Genomic DNA, 17,247 nt, shown 5'->3' on the forward strand with positions numbered 1-17,247 from the left:
CTTCAAAAGTTTCCTCTTGCCCTCTTCATTAATTATTATGATGATTTTGTGTTGAGAACACTTAACATAGATGTACGCTCTTAGCAAATTTTTAAGTATGTAATACAGCATTATTTAAAACAGGCACTATGCCATATATGCAGTAGTTCTCTAGGACTTATTCATCATGTATGACTGAAGCTTTGTACCTTTTAACTAATACCTTTCCATTTCCTCCTCTCTCTAGCCCCTGGCAACCACCATTCTACAATCTGCTTCTATAAATTTGGAGCCACCCCTCCAAGATATTCAGCAGCCTCTAAGTCAGCTATCTGCCTCCTTAGCTGAGTGAGATAATGATCTGCCTAGGATCCACCTCTCTGCACCATAGTAGGGAAAGCCAGACAGAAAACCAGGTGAACTTGGGACCATTGGGTAAGTGGTGTCATGTATTATCTGTCTGTGTGTGTCTGGCTTATTTCACTTAGTATAATGTCCTCTTGTTTCATCCATGTTATCGCAAATGGTAGGATTCCTTTCTTCTTAAAGGCTAAATAATATTCCATTAGATGTATACACCTATTTTCTTCATTCATTTATCCATCAATGGATATTTGGATTGCTCCCATATCTATTTTGAGTAACGCTGGGATGAACACGGAAGTGCAGATATTTCTACAAGGTGCTGGTTTCAATTCTGCATTCTTGGGATAAATCTTACTTGGTCAATTGTTTTACTGTTTTTATATAGTGCTGGATTCAGTTTGCTAATATTTCATTAAGGATTTTTTGTTTATGTTATTATCTTTTTTTCTTATAATGTATGTGGATTTTATACCTAAGATGTGGGCTTTTTTGTGGGGTTGTCATTTGAATATTCCAGGGATTCAGCAAGGACTCTTCACCCTGACTAGATACAAACTCTAAGGTCTCTGAACACTGTAAGACCTCTGAGAGCCCTGTCCAGCTTTCACCCTGCAGCACCTACTCCCTGCTGGCCACTACAGGTCCTTTCTCTATGCACACAGAGCCATCCCTCCCAGATATTCAGCAGCTTCTAAGTCAGCTATCTGCCTCCCTAGCTGAGTGAAATAATGGTCCACCTGGGATCCACCTTTCTGTATCAAGGTAGGGAAAGTGTCCCCAGACAGAAAGTAAGGTGAACCTGAGACCAACTCCTGTTGAGTTTCCTTGTCTCAAGAATTATAGTTCTGCTCTGCTTATTTTCCAATAGCTCTAAACAATTACATGTATTTATTCACTTTTATAGATGATGATATTAATGATTTTTTTCTTTTAATTGTTTATTATAAAGGATATTGCAAAGAATACAGATAAAGAGATGTATAGGGTGAGGCATGGGGGAAGGGATATAGAGCTTTCATGCCCTCCCTGGGAATGCCACCCTCCAGGAGCCTCCACAACCACAGCCGTCCAGAAGTTCTCCAAACCCAGTTCTCTTGAGTTTTTGTGAGAGCTTCATGATATCAGCATTCCCTCCCCCAGAGTGTAGGGCAGGACCTTCTTTGGGGAGGGTCTTAAGGCCCGCAAGATGATAAAGATTTTAATGATGATAATGTGGCTCTATTTTTTGCTGAGCACTCAATTGGTCATTTTTTTTCAGGAAAGATGCCTTTTAATTCAGGCAACTTTCCTTAATTTCTTCACTAACGAATGCCTTCCTTCCATTTTCTCTGTTCTCTCTCTTGGGAATTTCTATTATTTAGATTTTGGATCTCTGAGACATTGTTAAAATATTCTTTGATTTCTCTTCAACGTTATATTGCTTTCTTTTTGTACTACTTTCTGGGTGATATCTTCACCTTTATCTTCCAGTTCTTCTATCAAGTTTTTCACTTTTGTCATCATATTTTTCATTTTCAAGATTATATTTTTTGCTATCTGAATGCTAATTTTTATAGTCTCCTATTCTTTTGTTTCATAAAGATAATGTATTTTACTAGCTATCAGATAATACTGATGACAGCTTTTAAGTTTTCTTATTCTTGCATTTTCTTTATTCCCTCCAATTTACTTTATTTCCCCACTTGTTTTAGTCTCTATGTTTTCAGTTACAGAACATCTTTGACTTTCTGGTAATTCTTAGTTGTCTGCTTATGTTTTAAATTAGGAAACTAAAAGTCTGATTGGCAGTGCTGTGCAAGTGGCTAGGCTTCCCCATCGTGGATGTCACGTATGGAGTGCTGTGATCTGTTACTTTGGGCATCCTCAATTTCATTATCCTTCAATTTGTCCTCCTAGTCTGGTCAGATTGCCCAGACAAGATTCTTCTGATCTCCTTCCTGGAAGGTAACATCTAGCTGCTGAGGTTCTGAGACCTGAAAGTGAGAAGAGGCTGGTGGCTTCAACATTCAGTCTATAAACTTGCTTGTAATCCCTCTCCTTCCCTCGTGGTAACCTTACACTTACATGGGCCTGATGCCCCCAAGGCAGAGACCCTCTCTTCAGCCTCTGTTCACTTAGAAAAGTAACTATACTAGCCATCAGCTATTTCCAGAAGCCTTAAGGAGAGAACAATTTTTGAAGACCATCTTTTCTAATAAAATGAATACCCTTCCTACAATCAGCAACCCTTAGAAGGCGAGGAAGGGCCTAGGACAAATGGACCGTCATATTGCGTCAGCACCTCTTGATTTGAAAGGTAGGTCTCTTTCTGGTGCCGGAGCCTGGAGACTACAACCTACTACAACCCTATTAGATACTCCAGCCTCCCTGGGACCATATTCTCAGAGACACAGACAAGACTGAAAATCACACCCTGTCTGAAGCAGCCTCCTCTAGAAATTCATGGACCTGAGCTGGTCATCTCCTCAGTCTTTTCCCTTCCCACTCACTCTCAGAGGACACCAGCAGATATAGAAAGGCCTGCAGGGAGGACATTATCAGGTAGAAATTTCTTCTTCAGGTTGAGAGATTTCATTTTGATCCTGTCTTCAGAGCTACGTTATGATACAGCAAAGTCATGATCACTTCACAGCCACGGAAGGAATTATTTCCACCGGCATCTTTCATTTCTGATCCCCTCATCCTCATGATCCCCTCATCCTCATGTGTCTGCCTGCTGACAAACCAGAGCTGTCAGAGCCACCTGTCACTGCAGGGGGAAAAATACCTTTTTGACAACTGTGTCTTCCTCTAGCATACTCTTTGTACCCGATGTCTGCATTCCAACCTGTGTTTGTGACACTTCTGTTATTTCAAAAGCCCTCATGAAATTCTCTGAAAAGGAATCTCAAACCCAATTAATTTAAATTCATTTTCATTTTGAATGTGCTACATGACATATTTAGGAGGGAGTGTGTGTGTCATAAAGCCAAAGCAATAGGAGGGCCTTGTAAAGAAACAGCCTCCCTCATTAAAAGCAAACACAGGAGCATCCAAGGATTGTAGCAGGCAAGGGCACCAGAAGGTGACTCTTATTATGGCTGTGGTAGGAGTGGGTAGAGAATGCTTGGTTCTAATTCTGGTGTTAGCCACACACTGGTGGGAGAGATTTTCCTGGGTGGAAAAAAAAATAGTCTTTCCCTTTTTTCCTTTAAATAGCACCCACTCCCCCCAATGATAATAACAACTTGCCCTTCCCTTCACCAGCCTCACCTTACCCTTGGACAACATGACTAAGCCACATCTGGGCTCCAGGAGTTCTTAGTGCCTTACTAAATCCAAGCTTGCATGTCCCTGGCTCCTGAGTCAGGTTATGTTGGCTTGTTTTGATTTTTGTTTAACTAAATACCAACAGAAATTTTTTTAAAAATATTGTTTACAAAGGAAACTTTAGCCAGTAGGAAGTTTCTTGTTCTGCAAATTCAATGGCAATCTTTTGGCTTTAGATTTGGGATGGTGACCTATGCATATGCATTGCCCCCTCTCCCCTCAGGACCCCACAAAAGTGTCAGTAACATTTGGCAAAAAAGAATAAATTCATGCCAGCACTTAAACATAAGGAAGCGTGTCATCGATGGAACAGAAGTGATAAAAAATTTATGTACAATGGAATACAGATGTGACTGGATTGTCGCAACTCAAAACCCACAAGGGAGAAGGCTCTAGCAGCAGTAAGTGCAGTTCCTCCCAGGGGAGCACCAGAGGGTCTCTCAGCTTGAGTTTGGCTGTGGAGTGATAATCAGGATCATTAGTTGGAGGACTGTCTACAGCAGTGGTTTTTACATTGTTTTGAATCAGGTACTCATTATGTTTTTTAAAAAATGTACTCATTATGTTTTTTAAAACATGAAGCACACAACTACAATTTACGTAAATGTATTTATAAATATATACATATTTTTATATATAGCAATATACATATTGCTATTCTCATTAGCAAATATCTCAACATAATTTATATTTGGGTGAGATTAATCATTAATGATCATGAGTGAAAATTTATCTTCAAAATAAATAGTCTTCATGATAGTTTTGAACTTTATGGGGCCAAATTCTCATCGGATTTTATGAAATCATCAATATTTGCATCACATAATGGGGTGAATAAAGGTTAGAAGTATCAGCTTTGCTATTCTCTAGTTGTTTACCAGTGTCGGCATTTTGAGTTATCCTTGATCCACATTTTCTATGCCAGAAATTTTAATTACTTAACCATTTTGCAAGGATTAGATTATTTTAATGGAACATATTATCCATAAATCCCTTTAACCAAGAAGATATAACTGCAATTCATCACAAGACAATCAAAGAAGCAAACAAGTGGATTATGGAACTCTTACCTCTTACCTCAGGAATGACAATCCATATTAAAATTAGTATGACAATCCATATATTAAAATTAGTAAGCTTTGATATCTTTCATATTTTAGCTAACATTCAGGTAGGTAAAAGTTCCAAGATTTTCTTTGCACACCAAGTGGATCAGCTTGCACAACCCTCAGGGATAATACCCACCAGCGTTCACTGGGGTGTTATCCCCTGGGCTGGGTGACGCCATACTTTCCTGAGGTCCAAGGAAGCTGGCTGAAGCATCCAAACCTAGCTGACACCCTGAAGCTCACAGTGTGGATGTTGAGAAAAGTGGAGAGAAGAGACTGGGAATTCAACCAACCTCCTCAGCAGATGAACTGCAATGAGACCTGGCAACAGTGCCACTCCAACACGGGTCAAGTCTATTGTATTCAGCCAGGGGTGGAAATCATGAGATGAGCCTGCTTGTCTGTCAAGCTCAGCATCAGGCATCCTGCCATGCCTTACCCACAATAGGAAAGGGTTCCTCATGCACTACCCATACCAAACAGCTGTGCCCTTCACTCATAAATGTGGAAAGTCAGCCAGAGTCTCCAGACCTTTAAGAAAAATCAACAGCATGAAAGTAGAAGGACAAAATGAACCAAAACAACATTAAATTAAAGAAATATAAACAACAAGAAGAAAGCAATTTTAAAATTGTACTTCTTATTTGAATTCTTGGCTTCATTAGAGAAGAAGGAGCAATCATGGGGTGGTGGGGGGAACATGATTAAAAATTTGAAATCTGAAAATTGAAGTGATAAATAGCTGGGCAAAAAAATGGAATAAACATATATAAAAACTAAAGTAGTGACAGAGAAGATAAGAAAATCTTCTGTAGCAAAAAGACAGAGATGGAAAACATAAGAGTAAACGTTTTCAAAAGTGAAGTAAGAAAACAAAATCCAAAACCCATTTAATAAGCATTCCAGTAGGAGAGAGTAAAGTCAATGAAGATAAATCATCAAAAAAAAAATGTCACTCTAGTTGGACAAGATGACATAGGCCTTGTTTTATCTCCTTATTCCTGCTAAGCACAGCTATAAACCCTGGAAACAGAGCAAGAGACAACTGAAGAAGAACTCTGAAAAGTGGTAAGAGAAAGAAGAACTGGTTTGGGACTTTAAGACTAGACCAATAACAAAGAGGTAGTGTCTTGCATTCCCACACCCAAGAGAAGAAAGCTACCCCAACCTCGTATTTTCCAGCCGCCAATCTGGCAACAGAAGGCTCATTCTTCCTCTGGATCCAACGAGAGTCCTAACAACATGAGGCATACCCAACACCACTGGCAAGGGGAATTCATTAGAAGCCCTGCCAGAAATAAGCAGCCAGGGGAGGCACTCTTCCCCCCCGGCTCCGACTCCCATTCTTGAGGGTCACCTTTTCCACCAAGAAGTATAGGGGCTGGCAGGTGAAGCTAGCAGGAGAGATGCAGTTACAGCAGGTGGCCTGATTTGGGAAACCCCTTTGTCCCTATGTGTTAAGACTCTCCTCTCCTGCCCAGAGACCCTAGGCCAAGAGGCAAGGGACCCAGCTCCAGCAAGCAGCCTGGTTCCAGAAGCTTCTTTTTCCCCCCGGCCCTAGAATCCCATCTCCCACCCAAGACAACCTGGGGGTATGTGTGATGATGTAAAGTGGGGCAAGGGATGTCAGGGGATTCTACCACACTCCTCTCTTATTGAGGGATACCTGGTGGCCCCACCTCAGGAAGCTCTTTCTGCCCCACTAAGGCCTTATCAGCAACCGTCAATGGGAACCCCAGTGGTAGTAGACAAACTAAGAAAACCAAAATAATACCATAAAGACATTGAAAATTAATCTGCTTTTGAAACCACAGCCTACAAAGTAGTCCAAGACCTGCTTTCTAAACCTAAACATGTGACTGCCATTCCAGATGTAGAGGAGAAAGAGTAGGGCAGAAAGAGTATTTGAAAAAATAATGGCTGAAAACTTCCCAAATCTGGTAAAAGACACAAATGTATAGAACTAAGGATCTAAGTGAACACCCCTGAAAATAAACCCAAATAAATCCATGCCAAGGCACATCACAATTAAACTTCTGAAAACTAAAGATAAAGAAAACATCTTGAAAATAGCCAATGAGTTACCTGTATGGGAATACCCATTGGAATGATGGTTTCTCATTTGAAACCATGGAGGCCAGAAAGAAGTGGCACAATATTTTTTTGATACTGACAGAAAATAATTGTAAAAACACAAATTCTGTATCCTGTGCAACTATTCTTCAGGAATGAAGGGAAAATGAAAACATTCTCAGACACAGAAAAACTGAAAGAATTCATTATTTGCATATAAATCCTTAAAGATTGGCTAAAGAAAATACTTCGAACGGCAAGAAAATGGAAAAATAATGTAGTTTCAGGAAGACGGAACAATGAAAAAAGTAGATATATGGATGGGTACACACAGCTAACTACCCTTTTCCTCATGTGTTTTATACACCATATTTGATGACTAAAACAAAAATTATAACACCATCTGACATCTGAGACAATATTTAAAAGTGGAGAAGGTAAAGAGATCTAAATAGAAGTGAAAGTTTCCACACTTCAGTGGAGATGGCAAAATGTTGATACCAGTTGTAGTAGGCTGAACAGTGGCCAAAAGATGCCCATGTCCTAGTCCCCAGAACCTGTGAGTAGGTTATCTTACATGATAAAAGAGGCTGTGTAGATGTGATTAAGTTAAGGGTCTTGAAATGGGGAGATTATCCTGGATTATGCAAGGGCTCAATGTAAATACCAGGGTCCTTATAAGAGGGAGAGAAGGATCAGAATCAGAAAAAGGAGATAAAAGAATGGAAGAAGAGATCAGAAAGGAGAGAAGATTCCACTCTTCTGGCTTTGAAGATGAAGGGAGGGACCACAGGCAGAGGAATGTGCAAAGCCTTGACAAGCCAGAAAAGGAAATGAATTCTTTCCTGAAGCCTCCAGAAGGAATGCAGCTCTGCCAATACCTTGATTTTAGACCTCTGACCTCCAGAGCTATCATAGAATAAATTTATGTTGTTTTAAGCCACTAAATTTGTGATAATTTGTTATAGCAGCAACAGGAAACTGATACACAGTAGACTCTTATAAATCACATATGTATACTATAATGCCAGAGTAACTACTATGAACACTATATCAAGCGATATTACACTAGGCAACATAGCAAATAATCAATCATTGTAATATACCATATTAATCGAATGAAGACAAAAAAGCACATGATAATCTCAATTTTATACAGAAAAAGCATTTGACAAAATCCAAAACCCTTCTGTAATAAAAAGTCAACAAACTTGGAAGAGAAGTGAATGTCTTCAACCTGCTAAAGGGTATTTATGAAAAACCCACAGCTAAAATAATTCTTAACAGTGAAGACTGAAAGCTTCCCCAGGAGATAAGAAATGAAACAAAGATGGCTGCTTTTGCCGATTCTATTCAACATTGTACTGCAAGTTCTAGCCTGGACAGTTAGTCAAGGAAAAGGAATAAAAGGCACCCAAATGGGAAATGAAGAGATAACATCATCCCTATTCAGAGATAACATTATCTTCTATGTACAAAATCTTAAAGAATCCACATAAAGCCATAAACAAATTCATCAAAGATATATAGGATACAAGATCAACACACAAAAAATTTATTGTATTCCTATATACTTGCAACAATCTAAAAATGAAATTTAAAAAACAATTATATTTACAATAGCATCAAAAATAATAAAATATTTAGGAAATGAAATTAACCAAGAATATGCAAGACTTGAATACTGAAAAACTACAAAACATTCTGAAAGAAATTAAATAAGACCTAATAAATTAAATGACATCTGTTCATGGATTGGAAGACTTAATATTGCTAAGATGGCAGTACTCCCCAAAGCAGTCCACAGATTCAATGCAAGCCATATCAAAATCCCATGGTCTTTTTTGCAGAAATGAAAATGTCGATCCTAATATTAATATAAAATTGTATGGGAACTTTAATAGCCAAGACAATCTTGAAAAAGAAAAACAAAGTTGGAGGACTGGCATTTTCAGATCTCAAAGTTTATTACAAAGCTACAACTAATCAAAACAGGGTGGTAGTGGCATAAGGATAGAAAAAAAGATTAATGGAATAGAATTGAGAGTCCAGAAATAAAGTCATGCATCTATGGTCAATTCATTTTTTGACAAGAGTACCAAGATAATTCAATGGGGAAAGAATAGTCTCTTCAACAAATGGTTCTGGAATAACTGGATACCCACTTGTAAAAGAATGATGCTAGACCTCTACCCATGCCATATACAAAAATTAAGATGGGTCAAAGACCTAAATGTAAGAGCTAAAAAATATGAAACACTTAAAAGAAAACATAGGGGTAAACCTTCACAACTTTGGACTTGGCAATGGATTCTTAGATATGACACCAAAAGGACAAGTAACAAAAGATAAAAAATAGATAAATTGAAGTTCACCCAAATTAAAAATTTTGTGCTTCAAGAGACACTATCAAGAAAGTGAAAAAACCTGACTTTTTAAAAGTCAGGAAACAACAGGTCCTGGAGAGGATGTGGAGAAATAGGAACACTTTTACACTGTTGGTGGGACTGTAAACTAGTTCAACCATTGTGGAAGTAAGTGTGGCGATTCCTCAGGGATCTAGAACTAGAAATACCATTTGACCCAGCCAACCCATTACTGGGTATATACCCAGAGGATTATAAATCATGCTGCTATAAAGACACATGCACACATATGTTTATTGCCGCACTATTCGCAATAGCAAAGACTTGGAACCAAACCAAATGTTCAACAACAATAGACTGGATTAAGAAAATGTGGCACATATACACCATGGAATACTATGCAGCCATAAAAAATGATGAGTTCATGTCCTTTGTAGGGACATGGATGAAACTGGAAACCATCATTCTCAGCAAACTATCGCAAGGACAAAAAAACAAACACCACATATTCTCACTCATAGGTGGGAATTGAACAATGAGAACACATGGACACAGGAAGGGGAGCATCACACTCTGGGGACTGTTGTGGGGTGGGGGGAGGGGGGAGGGATAGCATTAGGAGATACACCTAATGCTAAATGACGAGTTAATGGGTACAGCACACCAACATGGCACATGTATACATATGTAACAAACCTGCACATTGTGCACATGTACCCTAAAACTTAAAGTATAATAATAATAAAATTTAAAAAAAAGAAAGTGAAAAAACCTACAGAATGGGAGACAATATCCTCAAATCATGTATCTAATAAGTGACTAGTATCTAGAATATGTCAAGAACTCTTACAATTTACCAATCAAAAGACAACTCATTCAAAAAATGCGCAAAGGACTTGAATAGATGTTTCTCCAGAGAAGAACACATGAAAAGATGCTGAACATTATTAGTCATTAGGGGAATGGAAATAAAAACCGCAATAAAATATCACCTCATACCCACTAAAACGGCTGTAATCAAAAAATGGAAAATAACAAGTGTTCCTTCCTCAAAAAGTATCAAAATTCCCATATGAGCCAGCAATTCCATTCCTAGATATATACCCCAAAGAATTGAAAACAGATGTTCCATCAAAAACCTATACATGAATGTTCACAGCAGCATTATGTACAATAACAAAAAGTGGAAGTATCCCAAATGTCCATCAACTGATAAATGAGTAAATGAAAATTTGTTATATCCATGCAATGGAAATATGATTTAATCATTAAAAGGAATGAACTACTGATACATGCTACAACATGCATAAACCTTGAAAACATTATGCTAAGTAAAAAAAAAGCCAGATATAAAAGGTCACATATTATATGATTCCATTTATATGAAATATCCAGAATAGGTAAATCCACAGAGAAAGCAGATTAATGATTGCCAGGGGCCATGAGGAGGGGGCAATAAGGAGCGACTGCTTAATAGGTACAGGTTTCCTTTTGTGTAATAAAAATATTTTGGACCTAGTAGAAGTGATGGTTGCACACTGTAAATTACTAAATGTCACCCAATTTCGCACCTTTAAGTAGTTAATTTTATGTTATGTAAATGCTACTTTTAAAAGAGCCAATCCCCAAATCACATACTGTATGATTCCACGTATGTAACATTTTTGAAATGATAAAATTTTAGAAGTGGAGAACAGAATAGGGGTTGTAGAGTGGCAGAGTAAGAGATAGAATTGTGTGTGGTTATAAAAGGGTGGCTACAAAAGGGATTCTTATGGTATTGCAATTGTTTAGTGTCCTGATTGTGATAGTGGATACACAAACCTACACAGGTGATAAAATTATATAGAACTTAATTCATACACACAAGTATAAGTAAAACCAGGATAACTGAGTAAGGCTAGTGGACTGTATCAATGTTGATATCTAGATACTACTACACTATAGTTTTACAAAATATTACCATCCAGGAAAACTAGGCATAGATCTCTCTGTATTATTTCTTAAAGCTGTATGTGAATCTGTAGATACCTCAATTAAACAAAAAATATGGTATAAATTAATCCAAATCAGTAATCACAATATAAATTAATTAAAATAGCATCTAAAGACATCAAGGTCACCAAGAGCCATACCTGAAACAAAACAAAGCATAAAGATTGAAAATGAAGGGACAGAAAATGATTTACCAGTGATAATCAACACATGTCTATTTAGTGCCTCCTACATACATGGCACAGTATGGGACACACTGGGACAAATCCATAAACAGAAAAACAAAAAATAGATGATGTTTCTGTTTGCTTGGCGCATGCATACACCACTAGAAGTGGTGAAGGAAAATAGATAAACAATGAATAAATAAACATACATATATATATATATTACATCAAAGCAAGACATGGAGACTAGAGAGTGACTGGGAATACTATTTTACAGAGGGAATTAGTGAAAGAATGTCCAATAACATTTAATCAAATTTTAAACAAAAGAATGCTAATGTAGGGATATTAATTTTACTCAAGATACTATACTTCATTATGCTTCGCAAAATAACTTATAAGAGTAACGAATGGTTGCCCAAAATGATAAAAGGAACAATCTAGAAATAAAATATAACAATCACAAGTTATCAACCGAGATTCCATTGCATCAGTCATGGAACTTATGTGATTAAAAACGTGTAATCTTAATGGTTAAATGAAGGCACATCTGACCTCTGCTAATAAGAAAAAGAACTTTTAAGCAAAACAGCAGCCAGTTTTCAAAATCCTGCTTTTTCCACTAAAGTAGCTCTAGATAGTATAGTATATACCAACACAAATCATGTCTGGAGTCAAGGTAAAGAACCAACAGGTGAGGAGGACCAGGAAACTTGCAGTGTTTTTGTGAAGATTAAATGAGGTCATGTTATTTATTCATGTGTCTCATTTACTATTTAACACATGGTAGACACTTGGGTTTTTCAGTATAGTAAGACAATGCTGCAGTAACGAATAAACTCCTAAGCCTCATGGTCTTAGTCTGAAAAGGTTCATTTATCACTCACATAAACTGTATTGCAGGTCATATTGCCCCCTTCCATCTGGCAACCAAGACACATGGAATATGTGATCTCCAGGATCAGTGCAGTCAGGAAAGAAATGTTTGAAGGGGTTTTTTTTTTTTAATGTTTGTAAATACCAGCCTGGAGCCAGCTCATAACATCAGTTCCATCTACATCCCCGTGGTCAGAATTTTGTCATATGATTCTAAACTAACTACAAGAGAAGCTGGGACATGTGGTCTCCCTGTGTGTTCAGAAAGATGAAACCATATGGAGGTCACATATCGCTATGGTACCATGGCATTCAATAAATGGAAACTCTGCCCTCCTGCTATAGCTTCTGTTTCTTTCGCCATTACTTCTAATGCCATAAAAATAATGATAGTGACACCTAACACTTGTTCAGCTATGTGGCAGGCATTAGCTACTTTTCATTATCTCAGTTTGCACAACAATCCTACCAAATAAGTTTATTATTTATTACTATAAATCAAGGCTCAGAGATGTTGGAACTGCCTGAAGTTATAAGCGAGTAAATATTTGTCTTACTACTAGTACTCCCTCTACTTAAAAGAGAGAGACTGTTTTTTCCAAGGGGCTAGGTGACCCCAGCATAGTCTCCCTGGAAGATGCCAGTTTTTCCCAGCTCTAAGTCACCTGCCTAGTACATAACCATTGGAACATCTGTAAAAAGCTTCCCTCTGCAGTAATTTTTCTTTGATTTACGGGTTGTGTTAAAATTGTTGTTCTATAATGGTCATGTCTAGAGACTGTTGCACTTAAAGGGAAAATTGCTCTAAATAAAAACGAATGATACTAAAATCCCTTCTCTCCCAATGAAATGATTCTCCTGTATTTTGTTCTCCTTGTGTGCTCACCAAAAAAGCTTCTTTGGTCTATTATTTCCCAATTACCTCTTCTGATGTTAGCTGAGAGCAGAGAAGGAGGATGGGATCACGAGGCTCATAACATTTGATCTTTTCCAGGCTTCAGCAAACCTGTGAATCATTTTCATAAGCTAAATCAATATCAGGTGTCACCTGGTGGCAGGTAAGGGCAATCCGATGGTTTTTGTAATACCTTGTGGACATTGATTTTCCACATATCAAGAGAGGACACGAAATAGGGAATGGATGAGTATGCAAAAGTAAAATGACCACACAGCTCTGCAGTTTGGTTCAGGGCTTGCATGTTTCCTGACTTCACTCTGACTTCTCAACCTCTCCCAGCCATGCCCACTGCCCTTAGAGGATTTCCAGGCACAGGAGTCAGGAGAACCCTGCATAGCACCCATGTATTAGAGTCAACCTGGATCCTGCACTTACTGGCCGAAATAGGACAATTCCTCTGCTTTCTCTGTTTTAAAGGGCTGAGCCACCCAGATGGCATGACTAAAAACTGCTCTGTCAAAGAATGCAAGGTGGAAAATATGGTTTTCAAAGTTTGATCCTCAACCAGCAGAATCAGCATCACCTGGGAACTTGTTAGAGATGCAAATTCTCAGGCCCCAGCTAAGACCTACTAAATCAGAATCTCTGGTAGTGGGACCCAGCCGTCGGTGTTTTAACAAGCCCGAGAAGATTTTGATGCAGTCTCTAGTTTGAGAATCGTTATACTAAAAGAACCTTAAGAGATCATTAGACTGAGCTTTCTATCTCACAGAAATGAAAACAGAGGCCCAGGGAAAGGGAGAACCATTGCATGCCTGGATGGGGACCCAGTATCCCAGTCTTGGGACTTGTGTGGTCAGCTCTAGCCTTTGCTGCTTCCTCTGTGCTATAGTTTGGCTTGTTTGCCCTCCAAGTCTCATGCTGAAGTTTGATTCCCAATGTTGGGAGTGGGGCTTAATGGGATGTGTTTGGGTCATGGGGGTAGATCGCTCATGAATAGATTAATGCCTTCCCTGGGATAGGGTGTTACTGAGTGAATTCTTGTTCTATTAGCTCCCAAGAAAGTTCCCCTGAGATCTGGTATTATAAAGAGCCTGGCATCTCCCCCATCCTCACCTCGCATCTTCTCTTGCCATGTGATCTCCGCACAGGCCAGTTCCCCTTTCTTTCCACCATGAGTGGAAGCAGCCTGAGGCCTCATCAGAAGCAGATGCTGGCCCCATGCTTCATGCACAGGCTGCAGAATCATGAGCCAAATAAACCTTTTGATAAGTTACCCAGCCTCAGGTATTCCTTTATAACAACACAAATAGACTAAGACAACTCTGGGTAGCCAATAAGATAGACTGGGTCTGGACAGGGTGATCTCCCAGGCCTCACAGTGGGAACTGTGACACAGAATTGAAGTCCAGAACTTCAGAGCCACACGAGAGCCACTGCTGAGAGACACTATTGTAAGGACAGTGAGGAGAGCCACAGCATCCTGGCAGCTAGGAGGTACTCCTCGGCCAAGGGTAAGCCACTGTGCACTAAGTGGACCGAGGACATTTAAAGTCCCACCAGCTTAGTTGTTGCTGGGGTAACTTCCAACAAACCCACAGATACATGTGTTTTGGGGAAGCATTTCCAGGCTAGACACCAGCAGGCTTGCCATGTAGGCATGCTTCCTCCCTGAAAAAGGGCAAAGGCAAAAGATGTGTTCATCCTTCCTCTTGGAGATTCTGATACTGTTCCTGCCTTCCTGCCTCAGGACTGCTCATCTCTTATCTGGTCTAGAACAGGAGCTTCTTAAAGGAGTATCTCATCCAATGTCACTGTTCTCCAGCCATTCCCCACCCAAAGCTGAGGGATATTGCTGATCTGCTCATGCCTCTCCATGCTTAAAATAATTCCCCAGATTCCATCACTTCAGGATGAAATCTACATTGCCCCTCTGGCTGATTCAGTCTTCTCAACCTGACCCTGGTCCTTTCCAGCTTCCCCTCTGCCATGTGTCTTCCTGAGTCACATCCTCCTGGGGAAAGCACTTGCAGTACCAGGAGTGCCACTCTCTCACACCCTTGTCACTTAAGTCCCATTTCCTTCAATGCCCAGATTGGGATCCACTCATTGGAGGAGTCAGAACCCCTTGCCTCATCAGCTCTCTGACAGCAGTTGTATAGGTCTCTAACATAGCCCTGATTACAGTTTTGAAATATACTTGTCTGTCTTTCCTACCAGACAGTCAGCTCCCAATGGCAGAGACTCGGCATAAAGTTAGCATATGGTGATGATGCCCTGAAACCCCATTAGCAATTATATGTGTCCATATTGCACATACCCTAAATATTTTTAATCACTTGGGTATTGAACAAACTTATCTTCTTACAGTGCCACCTCAGACGGGAAACACAAAGAAGTTCAAATTCTTCTAGTTCCCCACCTTTTTTTTTCTTTTTTTTCTTTGAGACAAAGTCTCGCTCTGTCACCCAGGCTGGAGTACAGTGGCACCATCTCCACTCACTGCAACCTCCGCCTCCTGGGCTCAAGCGATTCCCCTACCTCAGCCTCCTGAGTAGCTGGGATTACAGGCGCCCGCCACCGCGCACAGCTAATTTTTGTATTTTTAGTAGAGATGGGGTTTCACCATGTTGGCCAGGCTGGTCTTGAGCTCCTTACCTCAGGTGATCCACCCACCTCAACCTCCCGAAGTGCTGGGATTACAGTCGTGAGCCACCGTGCCTGCCCTAGTTCCCTATTTTTTATCCTAATTATGCATTATTCATTCAGGCTGGAAGACCCCTTGAAATGTCATCTCATCCAGCCCCCTGCCTTGGGGGTGGACTGAAGGAGGCTTCTGGGCTCTATTTTACAACAATCTGTCAGTACACCTAAGTCAGTGTGGAGAAGACACAGATCAAATGCTGGTGGGTGACGCCTGGTGCTGACACTGCTGCAGACCCATCCTCTGAGCATCCACTGTCCATGGGCAGAAGGAGAAGCCTACAGGGCTGGACCGAGGCTCAGTCTAGAGTATTTACCCAGAGAAACTGTTTAAAATACATTATGTGCCACTTGAAATTTACTATGTCTCCTTGCTTTTATCTAAATTTAACCCCATTACTTTTACTATCTTGGTAATAAAGCAGATTGAAGTGTGTGGTAGAAGTGGTTTGAAATACAAAGCTTTCTTCTTCTCTTATTTGCTTTCATTTTTGTTTATGTCCTACGTTGGTTAAACAAAATTGAGGCACTTAAGGAGTATTATAAATCCTCATGAGGCTTCTCATCTTACAAATGGAGCAATGCTCAAAACACTCTTGTTCAAGTGGTTGCTTGAAGCCCAGATCACATTTTCTATAAGGCTTTGTTAATGGTAGTTCCCAGAGACAACTCAAGTAAGTTGAGGCAGAAATGAGAAAGTACCACCTTGATCTTGCCTTTGAACCTGGGAGTCATCAGAGGATGATTAAGAAAGCAAGTGAGTCTACCATATTGGCAGAGTATTCATCAAGAAACCACAGACTTACACAACCAAGAGGGAGGGAAACAAGCTAGGGCACCCTTGATAACACTGTGCCAGATGGGGACATCTGGGTGCATTCTCCAGCTGTCCTTGGGGCACCCGACCACAGCCTGGCCTGAGTGCTGCAAAGGACAAGACCAAACTGCAAAGGACAAGGCCTGCCTTGGTCACCAGGGAGGATAAGGCTGCCAGGACTGCCTGGAGACCTTGGGTTCTCCTGAGGTAGCATCAGACACAGCTTCATTCAGCCTATTCCTCAACTTTACATGAGTTGTCCTATCTGTGCCTCTCTGCTCCAGAGTCTAGCTGCTCTTTCTTGCCTAAAATATTCTGAGACTCTTATGGCTAGCTATTCCTTCTTCCAGAACAAGAGAGAAATAACCTAAGATGTATAGCAATAGGTGTTCTCCGGCTCGTTTTGATATTGTGGATGCTTCAGCTCAGAGTGGCCCTGTAGGAACTTCCCAGAGAGTGAAGCTGGGCTAGCTCTGGTCACTAGTGGATCAGTCAAGATAGACTAGGTTATGCTGCACCAGCAAAAATTTCAAAATCTCAGTGGCGTAACACAAAAATGTTGTAAGCCCCTATAAGAGTTCTGCTAAGA

Source organism: Homo sapiens, chromosome 3 (assembly GCF_000001405.40).
Source record: "Homo sapiens chromosome 3, GRCh38.p14 Primary Assembly".
NCBI classification, from domain to species: domain Eukaryota; kingdom Metazoa; phylum Chordata; class Mammalia; order Primates; family Hominidae; genus Homo; species Homo sapiens.